At 37.0% G+C, this 23203-nt stretch overlaps 1 protein-coding gene and 1 long non-coding RNA gene across 5 annotated transcripts in view; one reads left to right on the top strand and one right to left on the bottom strand.

Moving 5' to 3' along the window:
• Window positions 1-23203, bottom strand: part of PREX2 (phosphatidylinositol-3,4,5-trisphosphate dependent Rac exchange factor 2) — a 284987-nt gene that overhangs the window by 140555 nt on the left and 121229 nt on the right. For all 4 annotated transcript variants that reach the window (NM_024870.4, XM_047422268.1, NM_025170.6 and 1 more), the window contains exons 15-21: window positions 19009-19081; window positions 15893-16035; window positions 15640-15732; window positions 13090-13238; window positions 8669-8754; window positions 5763-5899; window positions 2756-2873 (exon numbers count right to left, since the gene is read on the bottom strand). In NM_024870.4, the coding sequence (NP_079146.2) occupies window positions 2756-2873; window positions 5763-5899; window positions 8669-8754; window positions 13090-13238; window positions 15640-15732; window positions 15893-16035; window positions 19009-19081 (799 nt within the window). The remainder of the gene's footprint in view (window positions 1-2755; window positions 2874-5762; window positions 5900-8668; window positions 8755-13089; window positions 13239-15639; window positions 15733-15892; window positions 16036-19008; window positions 19082-23203) is intronic.
• LOC105375888 (uncharacterized) lies at window positions 1397-14226 on the top strand. The gene is made up of 2 exons (XR_929024.3): window positions 1397-1489; window positions 13594-14226. It is a non-coding gene; the product is annotated as an uncharacterized LOC105375888 (long non-coding RNA).

The raw sequence follows: 23203 nt of genomic DNA, 5'->3' as shown, positions 1-23203 counted from the left end.
ATCTAAAATGTCTGCCTATAGTTTTTTAGCCTACATATGGTACGTCAGCTGGTGAAAAATACCTAAAATCTCAAGTAAGAAACTCCTGGGAAACCTAATAGTAATTAAATAAACAAAACTAGAATATTAGTTTACTTAGAACAACAAAGCCCAAAAATAGCATAAACAGTAAATATTAAATAGGCAAAAGTAGAATATTGATTTATCTTAAAGTAACTAAGTCCTAGAATAGCTACAAATCAATTTCCAGAGCATTATAGGAACCAATCTACCTTTCAATGTGGCACCAACGTTGATTTATTCCAAATTAGGAATACAAACCTCAGAATAAGGTCCTGAGATTTGTCCTGTTTTGGATAAATATTATGTATTACCATAACAACCTTATTGCTCCAATGAGTTGAGATGTTTCTGATATTACCCATGATTTGGGTAGCATCCAACCAAGTGGCCTTCCAGGAGTGCAGAGAAAACAGCTTTTCCTAAGTACCCCCCATACGATCAGTGTGTATAGGGAATATACAGTAAGAAATACAGGCTAGGCGCCATGACTCATGCCTGTAATCCCAACAGTCAGGGAGGCCAAATGGGAGGATCACTTAAGCTCAAGAGTTTGAAACCAGCCTGGGCAACATGGCAAGACCTTGTCTCTATCAAAAATTTAAAAAATTAGCTGGGCATGGTGGCATGTGCATGTAGTCCCAGCTACTGGAAGGGGTAGGGAACTGACGGCGGATCACTTCAGCCCAGAAATTAGAGGTTGCAGTAAACTATAATAGTACCACTACACTACCGCACTCTAGCCTGGGTGACAAAGAAAGACTCTGAAAAAAAAAAAATGGAAAGGAAAGGAAAGGAAGGGAAGAAAGAAAGATATATATATACACACACATATACACACACACACACACACATAGATACACACACACACACACACACATATATGTATGTATGTATGTATGTATGTATGTATGTATTTGGCCCCGTTCCTGAAAAAAAGCTTTTAAATCCTTGTGATTTACTGAGTGATAGAGGTGACAGGAATGTCTTTTGTTATTTATAACAAGCCCCTTTAGAACATAACGGAGTTTATGTGAATGAGGTGGCACTTGGTGAGCCCACAGCTAGTGTCAGGATGGGGGCTGGTTGTCAGGGGAACCAACCATGCGATTAGGGGGTAGGAGCTTTCAGACCCACCCCTGGACCTCTGGGGAGGGGAGAGAGGCTAGAGTTCAAGTTTAGTCACCAATGGCTGATGATTTAATGAATCACGTCTAAGGAATGGAACCTCCATAAAAATCCCTAAATGACAGGAATTGGAGAGCTTCTGAGTGAGTGAACACACCCACGTGTCTGGAGGGTGGCACACCCCAACCCCTCACAGAGCTTCCCACTACACAGCTCGGTGCTCAGCACTCTTCCAGACATCGCCCTATTTATCTCTTCATCAGGCTTTTCACTTCTTATCCTTTATAATAAACCAGTGATTGTAAGTTTCTGGGTTCCCTGAGCTGTTCTAGCAAATAACTGAACCCAAGGAAGGGATGTGGGAACCCGCTGAATATATAGCCAGTTGGTCAGAAATACAGGTGAAAGCCTGGGACATGTGACAGGCGCCTGAAATGGGGGCAACCTTGTGGGGCTGATCCCCTAACCTGTGTGTCTGTGCTAACACCTGGCTTTACAACTAAATTGAATTGTAGGACACCCAGTTGGTGTTAGGAGATTTGGGGAATTGGTTGGTATGGGGGAAAACCCCACACATACAGGATGTCAGAAGGGTTTTGAATGAAAACACCTCAGAATAGGGAATTATTCTCCAGCTGTGCTGGTTGGGAGGAACCTAATAGTGTAACAAAGATATCCAGAGACATCCACCAATAATATGAGTGGAAAGACACCAAGAAAATATAAGAGGTGATTCATGGGCTTCTGTGAAAACGTTTTGAAACAATAATTTAAGGTATTTGTCAATTGCAGACATAAATGTAATTGCCTCTGTCGCCCTTGGCAAAGAAGCCACTGAACAGAGCCATTTGCTGGTTTACTCCATTGAGGAAACAGAAATGATAACCGTCCTTATCAAAAGATCTCTCTCTCCCTCTCTCTCTGTTTCTCTCTCATTTTCACACTACTAGTTTGCTCCTTTCCTTACTGTCAATGTTAGAATACAGTAAAAGTAAAAAAGAATCTTCTAGAGCAGGGCTTCTCGAATTTTAATATGCATACAAATCAAATCTAGTTAAAATGAGAATTCTGACTCAGTAGATCTGGGGTACAGCTGAGATTCTGTATTTCAGTCTAGCTCTCAGGTGATGTTGATACTGCTGCTCTGTGAGGCACACTGGAGGCCAGGTCTAAACAACACTGAAACTCCAAACAAGGAAACACATTATAACCTGGGTTTGAATCCTCACTCTACTACTTAACTAGTTTGAGCAAGTCCCTTAACCTATATAGGCTTTAGTGTTTTCTCCACTCAAAAAAGAATGATGATATTCATTTCCATTTTAGGAGATTTTCTTTTTTGATGACTAAGTGAGATAGTCCACAAAAACACTTCATAAAATGCCTAACAAATAGAATTTGCCAGCTACTAGCTATTATTACTTATGCATTTGACAGACATCTGTTTGGTGATAACGACTTAAGAATGTGGCTTCAACATGTACAGGACCTTCAATATTTGGGAGTAGGCACATGCACAGTGGAAAAGAATACTATAAGCACATGAAGAAGAAAATAAGAAACCTACCTTCTACTTTACAGTCAAAAGCATCCCCTGCTTCATCTCCAGGGGGCTTGGAGTGAGATTTTTGAAGGTCTTCTTGAGCACTCTCAATGCTATTATAAACCCATTGTATGGAATCTTGCTGGAAATGAGGGGGGAAAGAAACCTCAGAGGTATTAGTGCTTCCTAAAATACATGCCCATTTGGAGACTTGGCCTTATTTATTCCTCTAGATTCTTTAAAATTAGTAAAATTTGAAAGAGAGATACAATTAACATCAGAAACTAATAAAAACTCAAGGACAATTATATTGTTTAACAAACACTCTTTCTTTCTTTTTTTTTTTTTTTTTTTTTGAGATGGAGTTTCCCTCTTGTTGCCCAGGCTGGAGTGCAATGGTGCAGTCTCGACTCACCAAAACCTCCGCCTCCCTGATTCAAGCGATTCTCCTGCCTCAACCAACTGAGTAGCTGGCATTACAGGCATGCACTACCATACCTGGCTAATTTTGTATTTTTAGTAAAGACAGGGTTTCTCCATGTTGGTCAGGCTGGTCTCGAACTCCCGACCTCAGGTGATCTGCCTGCCTCGGCCTCCCAAAGTGCTGGGATTACAGGCAGGAGCTACTGCGCCTGGCCTAACAAACTGACTTTTTAAAGCTTCAAGTTTTATCTTCTAAGATATGTTCCAAAGATGTATGTTTTTAAATAGGATATATTCCAAAATATCTTACTTAAATGCTTCAAGTATATCGTAAGTAAGTTATAAATCACATTTTAAAATAATCAAATGTGGCTGGGCATGGTGACTCACACTTATAATCTCAGCACTTTGGGAGGCTGAGGTGGGAGGATCGCTTGAGCCCAGAAGTTCAAGACCAACCTGAGCAACGTAGTGAGACCCCATCTCTTTTTAATAAGACAACAAAATAAAACAATTGTGAGAGGGACACTTGTCTGATGAATCAATTATCTATAATTGTACAAATCATTTACATGTTCCCCTAATAGTCAGATATATTCTAATACATTTACTGCTATTTTAGAATCAAACAAATATGAAAATTGGAAGGACATCATTCATCTCATTGGTCTCCCAAGTAATGTAACTATCTTTTAATCCCTCCAAATAAAAAACATCCTATTTTTAAGGGCGATTTCCTTAAAAATTATCCTATATTTTAACAGCAGTTCCAGTCTTATTTAGAGAAATGAGAGAGATGAGATGACTACCAAACAAATGCTTCAAGGGTTGCATTACTTTAAGGGTTATAGATTTTCTAGATAAGATGTTAAATCAAATTAAACTGCATTATTGAAGTATGATACAATATGTATTATCTATTTTTTGTATTCGATTCTCAAGTGTGTCTAATTAATATATTGCTACAAATCATTAAAATGCTAATTAACATTTGATCATTCCATTACATCTTGGTGCCCTGTTGTGGCCACCAATGAGCCGCACCGCTTAGTTTCCCACATTGACCCTGGGCTTGGCCACGTGATTTGGTTTGTCCAAAGGGATACTAGCAAGTACAATCTAAGTAGAACATTTATCACTTGTAATGTTCCCTCTTAAAATTCAGACACACACTGAAAAGAAAACCCCGTTAGAGACTGGAAAGAGAGGCCATGCAAAGGTGCTCTGGAGGGTGACCTGCCACATGGAAACAGAGGCCACGAACAGGGGAAGCAAAAGTCGGGTCCCAGCAGAATGCAGCCACGTCAGTAACCTCATAGGAACCACCCCACGGCCGCCCCATAGAATCAAGACAAATAGTCAATTATCATTGTTTTAAGCCACTAAGTTTTGCAGTGGTCTATTTTGTGGCAATGGATATCTGGTAGAGCATGTTAGTGGATTTTTCTGCCCATTTATTGCTTTTCTTTAATTATTTCACTGATCAACACCTCTATAAGAGGGTAGGCAGGGAAAATAAAAAGAAATGAAACTCAAATCGATTTCTCTGCTTATTAACATTCTGGTAGAAGAGAAAAGATTTGATCATTTCCGATGAGACTTTAAACATTCATTCAATAATACAGTTCAACAAATATTTATCAAGCTTCTATCAACCAGAGTAACCTATGAGCCTATATATAACTTCCAATTTGCTATGCTAGGTCTGACCTTCTCATTAAGTAAAACTGATCAGTTATTTTCATGTAGATTCAGCATTTTGCAGGCCATCAGCCCTGGCTTATGAGAAAATGGCCATTCATCTTCCAGGTTTGGACATAGTTGCATCCTCAAATCCAATCCAGAAATGAGTACTTCATTATCCATGACAGGAAAATACAAGGCTTCTCCTGTAAAGTTCTGCCTGCATCTAGCTAATTACATTGCAGGAGTTTTCTTTTATATGCCAATACTCACATTTTCTTCATAATAGCTTTGCTTATGAATTATGATTCTAATTTTAGTTTTTTGTGGCACTTGTAGATCAAAGGATAGTGTTCTACAATTTTAGATAACGCCGAGTACATTTTGGTATTTTCTTTTAAGACCTAAATGCAGTTACCTAAATACATTTTGGTATTTTCCTTTAAGAGCTAAATCCAGTTACCTAAATAAATATACCTCAAAATCAATCATGGACCTTATAAAACCCACAATTTTTGCTTTTTCACAGAAGTTTTCTAATAAAGAATATAGGTATTTATAGTTCATACATACAGACACAGACACAATGATCATTACATATTCTAAAGCAATCACAAGGGCCAAGAAAACAGTTCAAACCTTTGGATTTCAATTTGATAGAACTTGTATCTCAATGAAAATGAAAATACCCCAGATCACTTTTTAAACAGATGGCGGTACTGTAATACTAAAATGTAACCATTTAAACACAATCAATTATAATTAATTATGCAGATAAAGCAATCATTATGAGATTTATAATGCTGTGTTTAATTTTAAACTTAAAATTGGAAACCACAAATATCTCTGGCACTATCCCACCTCAACCCCTTAGGTCTTTATGCAAGTAGTCACTCAGATCCAGATTATCTGAAGGGCCACTTACCTTCGTTGGCCGCCTGTACTTCCTGCAGGCTGTAACGTGTGCAATGACACTGGCATGTGTCTCTTTGCTGACATTGATTCCATTCACCTTGATAATGCACTGTCCAGGGTGAAGACCAGCTGCTGCAGCCACAGTTCCTATAAATACAAATGAGAAAATAACCAAAAACAAATTTCAGGAATAAGATTCATTTGTATGATATATACAATTATGGAAGCAATTTTAAAATATGATCAAAGTCTAGCTAGTATAATCTTGATAAACTTGGTTCTGAGAGCAATGCCCACTCAACACTTTTCTGCTTTTTAACTTAACTTTCAAACTGTGATCAATAGAATATTTCTCACCTCCCTAAGAATTAGTTTGAAGGGATGTTGCAAAGTGACCTTTATAATACTAATCAGTTCTTTTTCCTTCCAAATGTCTAGTCAGTCTTTCTAAATATGCATATATAATGGCAAAATGAGAAGACCAGAAACATATGCCTTACTTACCTTCCTTTATTCTACAACATTTCTAAATATTCAAATAGTATTCACTTCTGTTTTTTAAAATGACAACAATTTAACATGCACATAAAAAAGAAAATCCTTAAGAGAAAAATCAAGTCAATGAGCAACTATGATTGGACTGGTTTTTCCAAGAAAAATAAGAGTTTGACATATATACAAAAAGTCAGAAAGATGGGAATTTGTAGAGAACAGAATTAATGAGATAGCATCACTCATCCTGTCATTTTGTTTGCATTGATATAGATTTAAATATGAAAGTAACATATCCTAACCAGTGAGCTAAGATTTCTCACAACCTTCCAATTATTGTTATTTGATAGTGTGATCAAATCAATATTAACAAAATACCATTAATAAATACATGTAATGAATACAATGCAAATAATTAATACAAATGATTATAAACTTGTAAATATATTAGAGGAGACTTCTTTTGTGACCAATGTCTCTCATAAAGAAATTATTAAACATCTTTAAGAAAATAATTTACATTCAAGAATATATCTTTGCATTTCTTCTTAATCCCCATAAAATTCACTCCTAGAAATGTTAAGTGGCTTTCTGCATTGAATTGAGTCTTAGGGGAAAATGGAAAATTATCAGCAGAAAGAACAGCCTGAAAAATGGCCTTGCTTCAAGAAATCACCTGGCCACTTGGAAGCATCCAAGCTGTTCTGTTTGTGTGAGCTTAGAATGGGAGTGGATGGAAGAGACAGGATTGGAGAGTTGAATAGAGCCAACTGTGAAGTCTTTGCCTTGACTAAGAGTCTCAACCTTGCTATAAATGGAAGACTCCGAGGGCTTCCTGTCTGAAAGGCTGAATTTGTCTGTAACGTAGGAACAAGTTCATCTTGGGATATAGGAAGCAATTTTGAGGAGCAAAAAAAACTGATCAAGGACACATTTTTAAAAATGCTGAGTAGTAATACGGGCCCAGTAGAAGACAGTCAATTGGGAGACACTAATTCAATAACCATGACAGTCTTTTCCAGCTACAAGGGAAAAAGAGAGAAGATGTGGTTAGGTTGATCCAAGGCTGAAGTGCAGTAGCTAGAATGCAGCTGAGGGTGGGAGGCAGGGGAGCCTGGGGATGCTGGCAAGCGTGACTGCAGTGACCCACACGAGAAATCTCTTTTTCTTGTGGCAAAATTACAGTGCCAAAAAATAACCAAATATCTTTCCATTTCATACACATCTGAGAGAGAAAGCACTTGAGCATTTCTGTCTTTTACTCTTCAGAAGCAAAAAGCACAGAAACCAGACGTAGGCCAACCCCACCACTAAGCTCCAAAGATAGAACCTTGCTCTTTAAATGACATTGTAATAAGGGAAGAGGTACAGCTTGATTCACTCAGGCTTTAAGCTATTTTATAGCACTATTAATGTGAATTATTCCTTTTTGTCTTCATGAAAATGCAGAAGATATTTGGTGCCTCAATATCCCATTTTAGTTTGACAATATTTAATGAGTTATTGGGAAGATTTTAACTGTCTATCCATCTATATGTTTTAGAAATCTGAGAGAAACACAGCTTTCTGAAATCAGATGTTTTTATCATACATACAATAATGAAAGTAATGTTATAATAAAGGTCTAGCTAGTATGTCCTTGATAAATTTGATTCTGATAAAAATGCCCTCTTAAAATTTTCTTGCCAAATTTTTGGGTGATCACATCAAGATACTTTACATTCTTTAGTAATAAAAAGCATGTATGTCTCTTGTTAGATAAACACATGACTTCTTATGCTAATAGTGACACTTCTTGCTATAGGCGCAAGTTACTTACTATGTTTAGTAATGTGGGATCTGACAGTTATTTCCTTCAATTGTTGCTAGTGTCAATTTAAAATTTAAAAAATACATATGATAAGAAGAGATGTCAATAATCAAACAAAAAAGAATAAGTGTAAACATAACTTTTTAGTCACTAAAATTATTGAATTTAAAATGCATCTTATGATGGGATTTAACCACGGTTTATAAAAGTACCCGAAGGAAGTATATAGCAATAGGTTATAAAGTCCACAGATCAACTTTAAACCTAAAAACTCACAACTTTGGATTACTGACAAAGAAATACAATTACTTGAAATCAAGAAAAATACAAATAGAAAATCTTAAATTTATTATATTCTTTGGATAAACTGAAGGATGCAGAAAAGTGAGATTTAGGCATAATTCTTATATCAATTTTTTAACAATGATAAATATGGCTTAGAATTTTTTCGTTTTTTTAATGTTTCTGGAATGTGCTACCATTGAGTTAATACAGTGAAAATATAATTGAGAATCATCACAGCATGGTTCTGCCTATTTTAAACACATTCCTGTTCCATCGGGCACATCCCAAACCTGCTGGAAAGCTGTTTCCCTGCAAGACGAATTTCCTACCTCTTCCTACAGCATGCACAACAGAAGGGCCAAATCCCCGGATCTGGAAGCCAAGTCCATCAGCTGAATCTGGAATTTTCACTGTCCTAAATCAATCAGAAAATAAGGTAAGATGAAGCGTAAGAATCAAAACTGGTTGAAATAATCGTCGTGTACAGCTTTACACCTCTCAATAAATACATATTGAGGATCTACAGTGTGAAAGATGTTGGGCTAGAAATCCTTGGAGACGAACATGGTCCCCAACCTCATGCAATACAGTGTTTCTAAACTGAACACAGTCGTTACACAGTAAAGCCTGAAAAAGGAACATTGGAGTGTAGTGGCTTGATTACTGCTCACTGCAGCCTCAATCTCTCTGTCCCAGTGATCCTCACATCTCAGCCTCCCAAGTGGCTGGGACTACAGGCACAAGGTGACACCATGCTTGGTTATTTTACCTTATTTTTTTCATAAACACAGGGTTTCCTACATTGCTCAAGCTCATCTTAAATTACTGAACTCAAGTGATCCTCCTACCTCAGTCTCCCAAAGTGCTGGGATTACAGGTGTGAGCCACCATACCTGCTTAAACGTAGCCTTGAATCTTCAAGTAGTCAGTTTGTAGGTGGATAACTTAGATAAGCTCCTTAACTACTCTGACACAGAAAGATAACATTGTTAAAAGTTATTTTGCAGGGTATCTGTGGCAATTAAAAAGAAATAACCTTGGTAAGTTGCCCTGTACTGTGCTATGAGCTATACAGGTACTTAATAAAACAGAAACTTTTCTCCTTAGTTTACTGTTACAAAGAAAACAATGAGGGACCTATGAAATTCTTTATAAAAATTAATGTAACAGAAATACAGAGTTAATACATTTCTACCTATTGGGAGCTTTATCAAAGAACAACAAAGAGCTAGTTATAAAGAACAGATCTGTCAAACGTGGTATCAAAATATTTTAAGAAAATGATTCACTTTAGTATTTATGCAATGAAGGTTTAAAAGAATAATACATCAGAAGGCAAACCTGAATAAGAGAAGAAATCATTCCAATGAATCTACATTAAAAAAAGAAAAAAGATTATGAAGAGATGGGAAACTTGAGCAAGCTGTCACGGCAAACCAGTCAGGGGTGTCCAATTTGGCACTCATAAATAAGATACTCCACTGAAGAAAGCCAGAAATCAGATAGCAACAATGAAAAGCAGAGAGTGCAAGATGCGAGGGAACATCATAACAATACAAGTATGATATCGCAGCCGGGAACAAAAACAAATGAATACAACGCAATAAATTGTGATAGATAGCCCTTGACGCCCAAGAAACAAAAGTGTTTCCCAAAAGATGAGTTAATCACAAAGCAAATGTCAGCAGCACTTCAAGGGCATATTAAACAGAGTCTGAAGGTAGATACAGCAGGACTTATCTGCAGTTTATGAAATTGCTGTGGGAGAGTTTGAGCAAAACTAAGGGCTCAAACACTTCAGAAAGCCATAGGCTACATTTAGGCCTAAGGCAGAGAGGCTGGCACTGCAATCTCAAATATAACCTAGGCAGGCATTCAGGGATAGAAATGAAGATTTTCTGCTCTCGGAAAACTTGAAAGTATTATTATAAATTAGGTTATACACTATGAAGTTATCTGTATGTATGTGGGATAGAGGTCACAGAATTAATGTATCCTTTATCCTTAATTAAACAGTTTTTGGTGTACAGGGCTGTATTCATTTCCTTTGAATAACACATAGTTATCAGTGTTTGTCAAAGTTTCACTTGAAAATGAAAGATAACTGACCAAAGAAAGAAAAAGGGAATGAATACATATTTTGGTGAGCCTGAAACAAAATCAGAAGAAGTTCATGCTTCTATATATTACGAATGAGAGTTCACTTCTGCTGAAACAACATAGAACTTTCAGGCCATGGTGAATTATTGTTGCTTTTGGATTTTGAGTAATTCACAGTGGCCTCTCAATCTTACTGAGCAAGGCTTTTCTATCCTTCTAACACTGCTATGGAAGGTTGACTCTAATCTTTAAGAGAATTATTTTTTCCTTAATCGAAATTGTACAAAACACCATGACATGCATTTTGGTCCAAATGTTGGAAGCCCCTTAGTAAAATGATCTTTAGAAAACATGTTTCCCTGGTGAGAACATTATATTCCCTATTAAAAAAGAATTACGTTTATACAAGACGGATGTTCTATTTCCTACAGAAAATAAGTGTACTAAATTATCTGCTACAAAGTCTTTTGAAAAATCCCTTGATGCTATCAAGTATGAAATATAGCTAGAATCAAAAGAAAATTCTTTTGCATTTATCTCTCATATTTTTCCCTTTTCCTCAAAATGGGATACTACTTAAATTCCAAGAAGCTATTGTAAGAAAATATGACAGTGATTTATAGAACTCATACATTAGAATAAGGACATAAAGGAAAAGTCATTTATTTCAAACAAGTTTTTTAAAAATGAGTATGCCATCTTCAAAAAAATGAGTATGCTATACAATGTAAAATATGCTCTTGATATAATAAAGTAGCAATGAAACATAATAAAATGAGAAGACAACAGCATCATATATAACATCACTGGGTACTTACTATGTACTGGATACTTCACTAAGTTCTTTACAAACCTAGTTTTATTCAACATTCTTTGCAGTTCCATGGCACAGGTACTCTTATCCCCATTTTATGGATGAGGACGTGAAGTTATACACTTAGCTAGCAAGTAGTGGAAGAGAGGCTTGAACCTGTAATCTAGAGTTCTAGACACAGCGCAACGAACACTAAGAAGAGTCAGAAGACACAGATTGCTATTCTGCTCATCTAGCAACTAAGTCTATGACTGAGGATTTGCTCCTATTTATTCAGTTTTGAAGTTGATGACCTCAAAGTCTCTAACAGTTGGAATGTCTCTGATCAGTAGATCAGTATTTGTAGGGTTAAATCAGGGGGCCCTAGGGAGGACGTAATGATTGCTTTCAATACTACTCCCTTATTCCTTTCCAGTCTGTCTTCTTCCTTTTAAATGCCCTCAAAGTGTCAGGAGGTGGGCAAGCAGGACAGTCTTCTCCTAGACAGAGTTGAATAAAGGGAGAGGAACAGACCATAATTAGGTTTAGAGGGAAGACATTGCTGTGCTTCTTTCCTGCCCTCTAGCCCCGTCTTCCTACATTAGTAAAAAGTGAGTGTCAGGCTCACTCTTTCAGACCTCTTGGTAAACTATTGGTAGAAGCTAAAGCATCTAATTTAATGAATTCGCACTGCCTTGAAGAGACTCACTAGGGAGAACCCAGCCCACTGCACTGCACTTTGACTCTTAAGATACTTAACACTGCAGAAGTACATCCAGCTATTCCTGAATATATATAACATATAAACATATTACATATAAATATGTATTTTTACATATTAAAATATATTTAAGGCAGGGAAGAATACTGCATGTACTTTTAATAGGTAGTTAAAATTTAAAAAATCTTATTTTTGAAGTGCTAAATTTCATTTGCTTTAAAACTAATGAAGTTGCTTATCATGATTGACAAATGATACAAGTAAAATTTAAACAATAATTTTGATATATTATGCTAAATAGTTTGTACAAATTATCTCAATTAATTAAGTGGTTAAACAATTCAAGGTAAATATGATAAGGAAATACTAAACCATTGATGGAAATGATTTGCACAAGAAAAGCCCATGTCTTGCAAGTATATGCATGGTATGTTATTAAAAAGTAGCATACAGAGCATGCTCTCATTTTGTGGGTACCTGATTGTGTATATGTGTACCAATACTTTAAAAACTTTAGTTAATACTTAATTTCAAAGGAATAACAATGGCTATTTATGGGTGATATTGCAAGAAAAAAAGTCTCCCTTTAGAAACATTTGTATTCTCTACATTTTCTATAATAAACATAACTTTTTTTCTAATCATAGGTAGATAGTTAATAGAATTTTTTAAAGAAATGGACAAATTACTAAGCACATGCAAGTATGGATTATCTTTCAGTCTTTTTTGCATCTCTTATGAGTGTTAAATTATAAATGGTATCTGGTATCTAATCATCTGATAGCACCAGAAATTCTTATAGCCGAACATGGAGAAACACAGTTCCTTATTCTCAAATGTTCTACTAGTTTTCTTCACTCATAGTAAAACCCAATTCAACCCAGACCAGGAAAATGTGGGCAGCAAAAGAAAAGCATTGTTTCCACTAAAACTACATGATTCAAGTAACAAGTATGTCAGCATCACAAGCGATGTAGCTTCTCCCATCATCTGTAAACCAGTATTAATGATACCGGTGAGGTTCAAGCGTTCCAAGCAATGAGATGCTTAATTCTAAGCATTTACTTAGTTATCTTTTCTGTGTTACTTATCTATGTATAACTTTTAAAAAATCACACATAAATCATACAACTTACTCTCTTGGCTTTGTGCTCACAAGAACTCTTAGAGGTTTTCTGCTGTTTAAACACGATTTCAGGAAGCAATCCACTTCATTGAAAGGTCTCATAAAAACTAGGTCACCATTAATAGCAAAAATCTTTTTCCCGACTTCCATGCCAGCCATCTAAGAGAGAAATTACAAAAAATAAGTCAAAGTATATTTTAATAAGAAATTTTGAGTTTTTCACAAAATTGGAATATGAAAAGTTTCAGAGCTTATAGATATTGACATTTTAACACACCTGCCGTGTTTTTATACAAATTCACAAAGCAGAACTGTAGATAACACAGTTATCATTCTCTTTGGCATAGTTTTAAATTTGAACACAGAACTTTACCAAAATTATCCCCATTTCCCTCCCTGACTTAACATCCTACTCCCCTCTTCTGTTATATTTTACTGTTCTTTAGCTTATTTCATCCTTTTAACTATAATCAAATCCAAAGTTAATTTTTTTTACTGTGTTTTCCACCTATAGCCAATTAACTCAGAAAGTGTCAACTTCTGTATCTACATCAATGACACCCAAATATGTATCTCTAGCCTGACATAGCTCAAGCGGCTCCAGTGCAGGAGACAGAGGGAGCCTGGAATCCAAAGAAGAGAGCTCCAACCAGCATAGAGTTGTCAACAGTGCAAGCTGCTGAAAAGAGGACAAGGAAGATATTATCCCTCCACGCCAACCAGCATGCACTTCTCAACCAGCCTTACTGCCTATAAACTACCGCTGTTTTGACTGTCAGCTAAATGATGAAAGCCTGAGAGAGGGCATTTTATTAGTGGCATAGTCAGATGCAGCTGTGCTCTAAGACCATCCTCTGAAAATGCCTGGGAGAAACTATTTCCTTCTCATTGACAATTACTAAAAATGGTCATTCGTTGGCCAGGTCCACTAAACAGTGCATACGTTGATCAGAGTTATTTTGTTTGAAATTAGTGTGCTGTACAGAAAGCTTTGTCTTGCATGAACCTGTGTTTTGATAAAACAGAGACCTTGGGCATTAGCAGATAGGAGGATGGGTGACAGTTTACCACTAACTTTAAACAGGTTCAAAGGTAAATACCATATTTTGTTAATTTTCATATTCATTAAAGATCTAAATATTGAGAAGTTTGCTTGAGGATTAAGTATCTTCCAACCAGGGGCACCAAGGTGAGGACACTTTAAACTAGATATACCTGGGCTACAGCACTGAAAAGTAGGGCCTATGAGGGTGGGGGATTTTGTGTCTTGTTTGTTGCTGTATTCCCAGAGCCTGGAACACTGCTGAGTATATAACAGGCACTAAATAAATACTTCTAAATGAATGAATGAATGAATGAATGAATGATCAGAAGTTTTTTTTGTTTGAAAGGCTGGTAAAGTTGCTGGGTGCAGTGTCTCATGCCTGTAATCCCAGAACTTTGGGAGGCTGAGGTGGGCAGATCACTTAAGGTCAGGAGTTTGAGACCAGCCTGGCCAACATGGTAAAACCTGTCTCTATTAAAAAAAAAAAAAAAATCAGCTGGGCCTGGTGGCATGGGCCTGTAATCCCAGCTACTCTGGAGGCTGAGGCAGGAGAATCACTTGAACCCAGAAGGCAGAGGTTGCAGTGAGCCGAGATCATGCCACTGGACTCTAGCCTGGGCAACAGAGGGAGACTTTGTCTCAAAAAGGCTGATGAAGTGAGAGAACATCAGGAGCATTAATCCAATGAGAAAATAGTTAAAGCATGTCCTTTGGTGATGAAAGTTATACTCATATAAAACACTATCAACGGTGATGGGAAAACAGAAGACACAGCTCTTGACAGAAAGGAAGAACCATCTGCCGTGCATAATACAGTGCTACCCTATGCAGTCTCCACGGGGCTCCAGGTTGCAGTCTGTGATTAGTGAAGCTCCAGGGACAAAGAATGAGCCACTTGGCCTCCCAGAAGGTCAAGAAGTTCACAGTTGAAGGACTCTAGGACAGGGGTCCCCAATCCCAGGCTGCGGACCAGTATGGGTCCAAGGCCTGACAGGAACCAGACGCACAAAAGGAGGTGAGCGGCGGGCGAGTGAGCACAAACCCTGAGCTCCACCTCCTGTCAAGTCAGCCGTGGCATTACATTCTCATAGGAGCGCGAACCCAATTGTGAACCGAGCATGCGGGGGATCTATGTTGACCATACCTTATGACACTCTAATGCCTGATGATCTGAGGTGGTACAGTTTCATCCCAAAACCATCCCCCACCCTCCGCCTGTGGAAAAATTGTCTTCCACAAAACCAGTCCCTGGTACCAAGAAGGTTGGGGACGGCTGCTATAGAATACCCACCACCTCCCGGCCCCTATTATCCCTGAGTGGCCAGACAGGACTCAGCTGCTGCTAATCCCAAAGGTATTCAGTAGAACCTGTGAGTAAGATTATCCAGAGACATTATGTTTGATAAAGATAATTTCAAGGCTGATTATCTTTAAAGGCAGATTTCAGTTTGTTTAGAATTTCTCTATTTTTATGTCATGATAACAAATTTAAATTAAAACGCTAATTTACATTACCTCAGCATTAGATCCCTTTTCTACCAACTTTATTATTGGAACTTTATTTTTGTCTTCTAATCCAAAGCCATAGCTGCCTTCATTGGATTTAATCTGAAATGCAAAATATTAACATTATTGATAAAGCAACTATGAAAAAAATTACAAGTCAAACAGAACGAAGTAATGTGCATCACCGTCAAACATGTTTAACGCAGTCTTCTGCTAGTGTCTAATCAAGAAGAAAACTTATATAACATATCAATAAACTTACCAATAATGACTTAGCTATAACATTTTCCACAACTTTTAAGTCATGTTTCATAAGTCGATGTTTCATATTTGATCCCTCCATTTCCTCATCCGAAAAAAAACGGAAAAGTAGGGGTTCATCTTTGAATTCGCTTTTTTCAAGGACTACAGAAAAAGACAGATGCAAATTATTTCAGCTAATTCAAAAATCGCACTCATTTTCAATAGCAGTGACATTTACAAATTAATACCTGCACCCATAACCTCAACTTTATACTCCTAGGACTAGTTACATTCACAAGTAGCCCCGGGTTTTGTTTTTTTTCTCTTTCTATAATTTCGAGCCAATGTCTCCTTTCAATTACTTTTACCCACAGGATTTTGAATTTTTTAAAACAAATAGTATTTCTTCTAAGGCTAACTTTTTAAAATTTAACCAAGTCCTTCGCTTTCCAGATTAAAATCCAAATTTAAATAAAAGATTATAATGAATCCAAAAATGCGTGCCTCCAAAACATAGAAATTTATGGTGTTTTCAATTTGTAGTAAACACTTTAAACATGTTTTTAATATCCCACACAATTATGGGAAAATTCAAATGGGTTAAGTGTTGCCTTCTTGTGTGAACAACTCTCATTGTGTTCACTTTTGTTCCAATACTTCAAACCAGAAATATGCCTTCTGGGTTAAATGTGATTTCAGTTTCCACGAATTCCTGTTTCTTTTCTGTTTAAAAGCAATATTCTCAAATAACCTTATTTCTAGAAAGGTCTGTTTCTTCCCCCTTATCTGAACATTAGCATTTCCCCCCAAATCCCCTAAGATTCTTGGAATGCACTGATGAAATAAAGTTTATGTTTTGTTAGTATTTTTAAAAATAAGGCTAAATACTGATATGAAGAATTTGTATTCAGTGAGATCCTGACAGCTGTCAAAATACTTTACAAAAAAAAGTTATCTATTTCTTATTTCTCTGTCCTTAATACCTTGAAGGTTGATTCATTAAGCCAGAGACTAAAAGAAAGTGATCCCAGGGCACAGCAGAAAAAGTTAGGTTTTGTGATGAGACAGGCCTGAATTTAACTTCCAGGTCTGGAAATGAGATAAGAAAGTTACTTAATCCCTCTGAGTTTCAGTTTCCTCATCTGTAAAGTGGGGGCAATAAAACCTTCTACATATTGTTGCTTAAAACCAAAATGAGGTAATAAATATAAATAACTTGGCATATAGTAAGCAGTCAAAAGGGATAGCTATTTGGTTTCATTATTTTTACAGAGCTCCAACAAATAATTGTTGACTGGATGAATGGCTTTATTGATCTTTGGTTGAAAGACTGGATGGCAACTTGAGTTAACAAACGAAACTATCAACCACAAATTTGAAAAACAACGGAAGCCATAATTAGCAACAGAAGTGAGAATCTATTTTATTGTTACTATTTTAAATTTCTGTAGAGACGGGGTCTTGCTATGTTGTCCAGGCTGGTCTCGAACTCCTAGGCTCAAGCAATACCTCCCACCTTGGCCTCTCGAAGTGCTGGGATTACAGGCATGAGCCACTGCGCCTAGCTCAGAACCTATTTTAGATTGACTTAATGATCTAAGCAGTTTCCCAAAGTTCACACAATATTTCTGCTACAGCTGTTTCCCTCCACCAAATTGTCTTTTAAAAGGAGCATGATAGGGCATCAATAAAGCCAGGCATGAGCTACACTGTTCATGCTTTACTGTCAGACTTTGGTATGAAAAACTTTTGATGTAACTCAATATTTTATAATAAACGCTTAGATAAAATTACTGTGTTGGTGCTTTACTTTAAAGAAAAAAAATTGAAACTTTTGAAGGTTTTCAGCTTTATATTACAGGTTTAATCCCCTAACATGATGTAATTTCTTCCGTTCATAGTTTGTTCTTCAAGGACCAATATTTCTCCACGACAACTCACAGAGTGATCTGGAGATAGGGAAACAGGATGGAATTTCCCCCAAAAAAATGATAACCAAGGACCTTCTCAAAATCACTGTAACCTTTGCTGTACTTCCTTCTTCATAAAAATGTAAAGATATTCTGAAAAAGTAACTGACAAACAGGTATAAGTGCTATCAAATATATGTTTATAAGCATATTATATTAATAATTAAAAAGAGGCCAGGCATAGTGGCTCACGCCTATAATCCCAGCACTTTGGGAGGCTGGGGCAGGCAAATTACTTGAGGTCAGGAGTTCGAGATCAGCCTAGCTTGGTGAAACTCCATCTCTACCAAGAAAAGCAAAAGTTAGTTAGACGTGGTGGCATGCACTTGTAGTCCCAGCTACTCCGGAGGCTGAGGTGGGAGAATCGCTTCAACCCACGAGGCAAAGGTTGTGGTGAGCTGAGATCATGCCACTGCACTCTAGCCTGGGTGACAGAGTGAGACCCTGTCTCAAAAAATAAATAAATAAATAAAAAGAGAGAGACTACTGTTTGGGTTTATGGATTCTATATGATGTTACGAACAGGAAAAGCTTGCTATCATTACCCTGATAAATCTAAGAACTTTATTTAAAAATTATTGTTTGATGACTTACTTGAAGTCATCCCAGGGCACAGCAGAAAGAGGTTTTGTGGTGACTTACTTGAAATCATCAGACAAGAAAAAAAATTAACATTTAATGATTAAAAATAATTTTTTTCTAGAGATCTATAATTTTGTTCTCTGAGGTAATTTTAAAAACATTTTTCTTAAAAATAACAGTAGTCAACCACATATGCTGTCATTTATTCATTCTAATATATACTGGCATTCAAAATAAAACCATAAGTCTAATCTGAAATAGTCTCAAAGAGGTTTATGAGCTTAAAAACAAGACAAAACAGAAAAACTTCTAGCTCAAGCCATTGTTCTTCTAGAATCAGCATAGTCTAGAAAAATAGGATAGTAGTCATGGCAATTGGTAGGTAACAGCAATTAGACATAGGGATGGCACCAGCAGTAAAACTGAATGCAGTTGTGGTGACCCAACCTGAACCCATGGCAAGACCCAGACAGTCTTGCTGGCTCATCCCTAAATGACCTCACTGCAGCACTGGGTGTTGCAGTATCCTAAGAACCAACGTGATGAAATACATCTGTAAGCTCCCAGGGTAAAAAATCCCTACCATGGTGCATAAATCCATTGTCACAGAGTCCAACGCCAAATATCATTGCCTCTTCTCTGGTGCGGCAATCTCCCTGTTAACCAAAAAAGCACTGTGGGAGTTAATAGGCAACTAAAGGCTTTGTGGCAGCTTTGCTCCATTTAACATTCCCAGCACCAAATTCAGACAAAGCTTCGCTTATAAAGCATGCATTGCTTTATAAGACAGAATGCATCTAATTGTTACAAAACATTCAGTTGATTATGAAAACATTTTCTTTTGGCATTAAGTAAAACAAAGATTTAATATTTCTTGAGAAACAAACATACTTTATTGTACACAAAACTATGTAACAAAAATTTATTGCTACCATAAATGATGCCTGTTATTTCTTAGATTAGATTTCTTAGATTTTATATTCCAATTATGCAACAGGGAAATATCCTGTAAATTGACAACACTCTAATTAAACAATCATTATGTATGACCTCAGTCACTAACTATTCCCTTCCACCAAATGGCCTTGCCCTGTGAGGACCCCTGAAGAAACCTATTAATCTACGATGACTTGTAAGACCTTACAAGTAAATCGTTTGGCTGAGCTAGCAAATACAAGCTTCTCTTTCATTATTTTGCCAAAAAAAAAAATCAGATCATTTAACTGAATCCAACAAAAGCGCCCAAAGCAACCTTTTTCTTTTGGTTTTCATTTAGAAAACACCTATTTTATGCCTTTAAGTATGGATCCATGTATATGAACATGCATGTGTGTGTGTGTGTGTGTGTGTGTGTGTGTGTGTGTGTGACCTTAGAGTTGTATTGTTACAGTTCAAGCAGCTTTTTTCTCACATATTATCTCATTTTTCCCCAGTCCTATCTTTTAGCACTTAGGTATGTTACCAAATCTACTCTCTCCTCTCTGGCTTCTATTCCATTTCTACTGTCAATACCTTCATATGGTGTTTCTTCTTCTCCCTTCTAAATTACCATAATTTTTTCTGGACTCTTTCTAACAATTAAGCTATTTTTTTTTTAAGATGGAGTCTCACTCTGTCGCTCAGGCTGGAATGCAGTGGCTTGATCTCAGCTCACCGCAACGTCCGCCTCCCTGGTTCAAGCGATTCTCCCACCTCAGCCTCCCGAGTAGCTGAGACTGCAGGTGCATGCCAACACACCCGGCTAATTTTTGTATTTTTAGTAGAGACGGGCTTTCATCATGTTGGCCAGGCTGGTCTCAAACTCCTAACCTCAGGTGATCCACTCGCCTCAACCTCCCAAAGTGCTGGGATTACAGGCGTGAACCACTGTGCCTGGCCAGAATTAAACTTTCTTACACAGAAACTCGGTTCCAAAACTAAACAGACTGTTCTTTTAGAATCATAATGTATCAAAATTCTCTGTTGGGCTTTTGAAACTTTCCATATCTTGGTTTTATGCTATCTCTCCAGCTTCACTCTCCAAAGCTCAATACCATACCTCTTGCTGTAGGCAACTTGGCCTCCCTGCTGTTGCCTGAAGTCTGTGCTCGTTCTTCTCCTGCTTTCACTCATGTAATTGTTCATAGCTGCAATGCCCTTCTCTTTACCCTCCACTCACTCACATTCTACCTGTCTATAAAGGAGCAAAATAAGGGTCCTACCTCATGCTGTGACAAATCCAACCCTCATTAATCCTCCTAAGAACTACTAAACACATAATCTGTAACTTCAGACTCTGCATCTGGCCCTCTTCAAAAATCGAGCTGTTTTGTAATTTTTATGCATTCATTCAAAAGATACTTATTTTTTCTACATATTGTGCCAAGTGATAGAAAAAATATATTAAACCACTCAAGCACAAAATAATTCCCTGCTCTGAGGTAATGCAAATCTAGGGTAGGATTTGGTCATTAAAAGGTAAGTACTTTACCAATAACCAATTTAATCCATATTCCCAATGAGGCAGATATACCTGGGGATCTGGGACCACAGAAGGTGACCCTGAGCCTAGGCTAGAGGATCTGGCGAGGCTTCCTGGGGGTGATGACGCTGCAGCAGAGCTTTAGAGGGTACATGAAAATTAGCCCAATTGACCAACATCACTTCAAGGCAGAAATCATGATTGCTTCCTGCTTTGTTTGTGTATTCTATCATCAAAGCACTTGCTTGAACATTAAGCTTACAAGAAAAGCTTGTTTAATAATCACTGACATTTGATTGCTTTATTTGATTGATTATTCAAATGAAACACTGGCCAGACTAATATTATTGAACATAATGGTGTAAAAAACATAGCCTAACATGTTCTGGGTTTCCTATGCTCTTTTAAAATCCTCCTTGTGCCATATGCACCTGGTGAGCATTTAGAAAAAGCACAGTAAGACCGCATGGATGTGAAGAAGCAAGGCATTATTTAATTATGAACTATGAGTGATCCATACCCAAATCACAACGTACAGGAATTGAATGATGTTTTAAAGGTATATTACTGCACATGCCAAATAAGAATTTAACTTTGTGAAACAGGGTATTTTATTACAAACCATTATACTATAATAGAAGCAGCACAACAACAGTGAATGAAAAATGTACTCAGAAGAACACAACACTCATTTTGTCTTCCAAGATGACATCGCACAATATATTGCAGAATAAGAGAAAAACTATAGGCTCTAGAATATACTCCAATCATAGTAGAGCCAGTTTTTTTACTCTGTGTTCTAAAACCGTCCAAATCAATTCAGTGTCTCAGTCCATACTGGACATTCAATATTATCATTTCAGAGTCTTGGAAGAAAGAGACCCTTACATGAAAAACAAAAAACAAACAAACAAACAAAAACCTCTTCTTCATGTTAGATTAAGAACTTTAACTTGTTGTTCTCTTATCCTTCCATTACTATTTCTGCCTTTTCCAAGGCAGCCTATGTGGTCCTAATCAGAAGTTAAGCAATCAGAGTTGATTATGTTGATACTTACATTAGGATGTTTTACAATATCAGAATCATAAAGTTTCGGTGATAGAAAAGAGACGGCATGTACAGCTATTGCAGTAAGCAGTAAACAGTTGTAAAAACTAAAATCTATAGAGATTGAGTGACTTGTCTAAGTTTATATAACTAGTTACTAGCACAGCTGGCATCAGACACTAGGTTGTGAGTCCCAGCCAATGCAATTCCTATTATGTACAATTTCTGCAGACATTGTCATAATAAACCACGAAGAAAAACTGAAGAAAAAAAAATTGCGGCTGGGCGTGGTAGCTCACACCTGTAATCCGAGCCCTTTGGGAGGCTGAGGCAGGTGGATCACTTGAGGTCAGAGGTTCGAGCTGCCTGGCCAACACAGTGAAACCCTGTCTCTACTGAAAATACAAAAATTAGCCAGGTGTAGCGGTGCACACCTGTAATCCCAGGTACTTGAGAAGCTGAGGCAGGAGAATTACTTGAACCCCAGAGGCGAAAGTTGCAGTGAGCCGAGATTGAGCCACTGCACTCCAGCCCAGGCAACCAAGTGAGACTCGTCTAAAAAAAAAAAGGCAACTTGGCCGTTTTTGAGCACCTTAATATATTCTTCTAATGTTAACCCTTGGAAAGTAAAAGTGCCAAAAAAAAAAGTTGATACCTGATTTCCTGAGCTAGAACTTTAAAGGTTTACTCAGCATCAGTTTTTGCTTCAGATAAATTTTCTTTAAGTTTCTCACGTAATCAACACATCATACAAGTTCACATGAATTCTAGAACTGTATAATTTCTATGTGAAAGTCCAACTCCAATAATGAACATAGAAATCAGCTCGAATGACACACATTGCCCACAGTGTTATGAAAGGCTCTGATGCTAGAAAAGCCACTGAAAATATAAATTGATGTTTTATCTAAAGGTAATTGTTTAGTTTCATCTAAAAACTTCTAAATGTAATAAATGTAAGTGCTATGAAATATAAAAATAGGTGTTCTTGAACAGCCTAAAAATAATATTAACTAATATAAATTATCAAAATATGTGTGTACAGATGAACCAAATGTGGATTAAGTATTAACAACTGAAACAAAAAATAAACATTTTATGACAAACTATCAACTATTATCTACTTGAAACAAAGAAAGCAAGCCACCCTTAAGAAAAAGTAAAGGTGTGTATGAAATTGACTCACATAGCTAAACATAGTGACTTGCATTTCAACCAAGCAATATCCCCTCCCCCAAAATAGTAAGTTCAGTTACAGTGGGTATCAGT

The sequence above is a fragment of the Homo sapiens genome, chromosome 8, assembly GCF_000001405.40.
Source record: "Homo sapiens chromosome 8, GRCh38.p14 Primary Assembly".
Taxonomy (NCBI): domain Eukaryota; kingdom Metazoa; phylum Chordata; class Mammalia; order Primates; family Hominidae; genus Homo; species Homo sapiens.
Note: the sequence above shows the minus strand (reverse complement) of the source record. Positions and strands in the feature narration are given on the sequence as shown.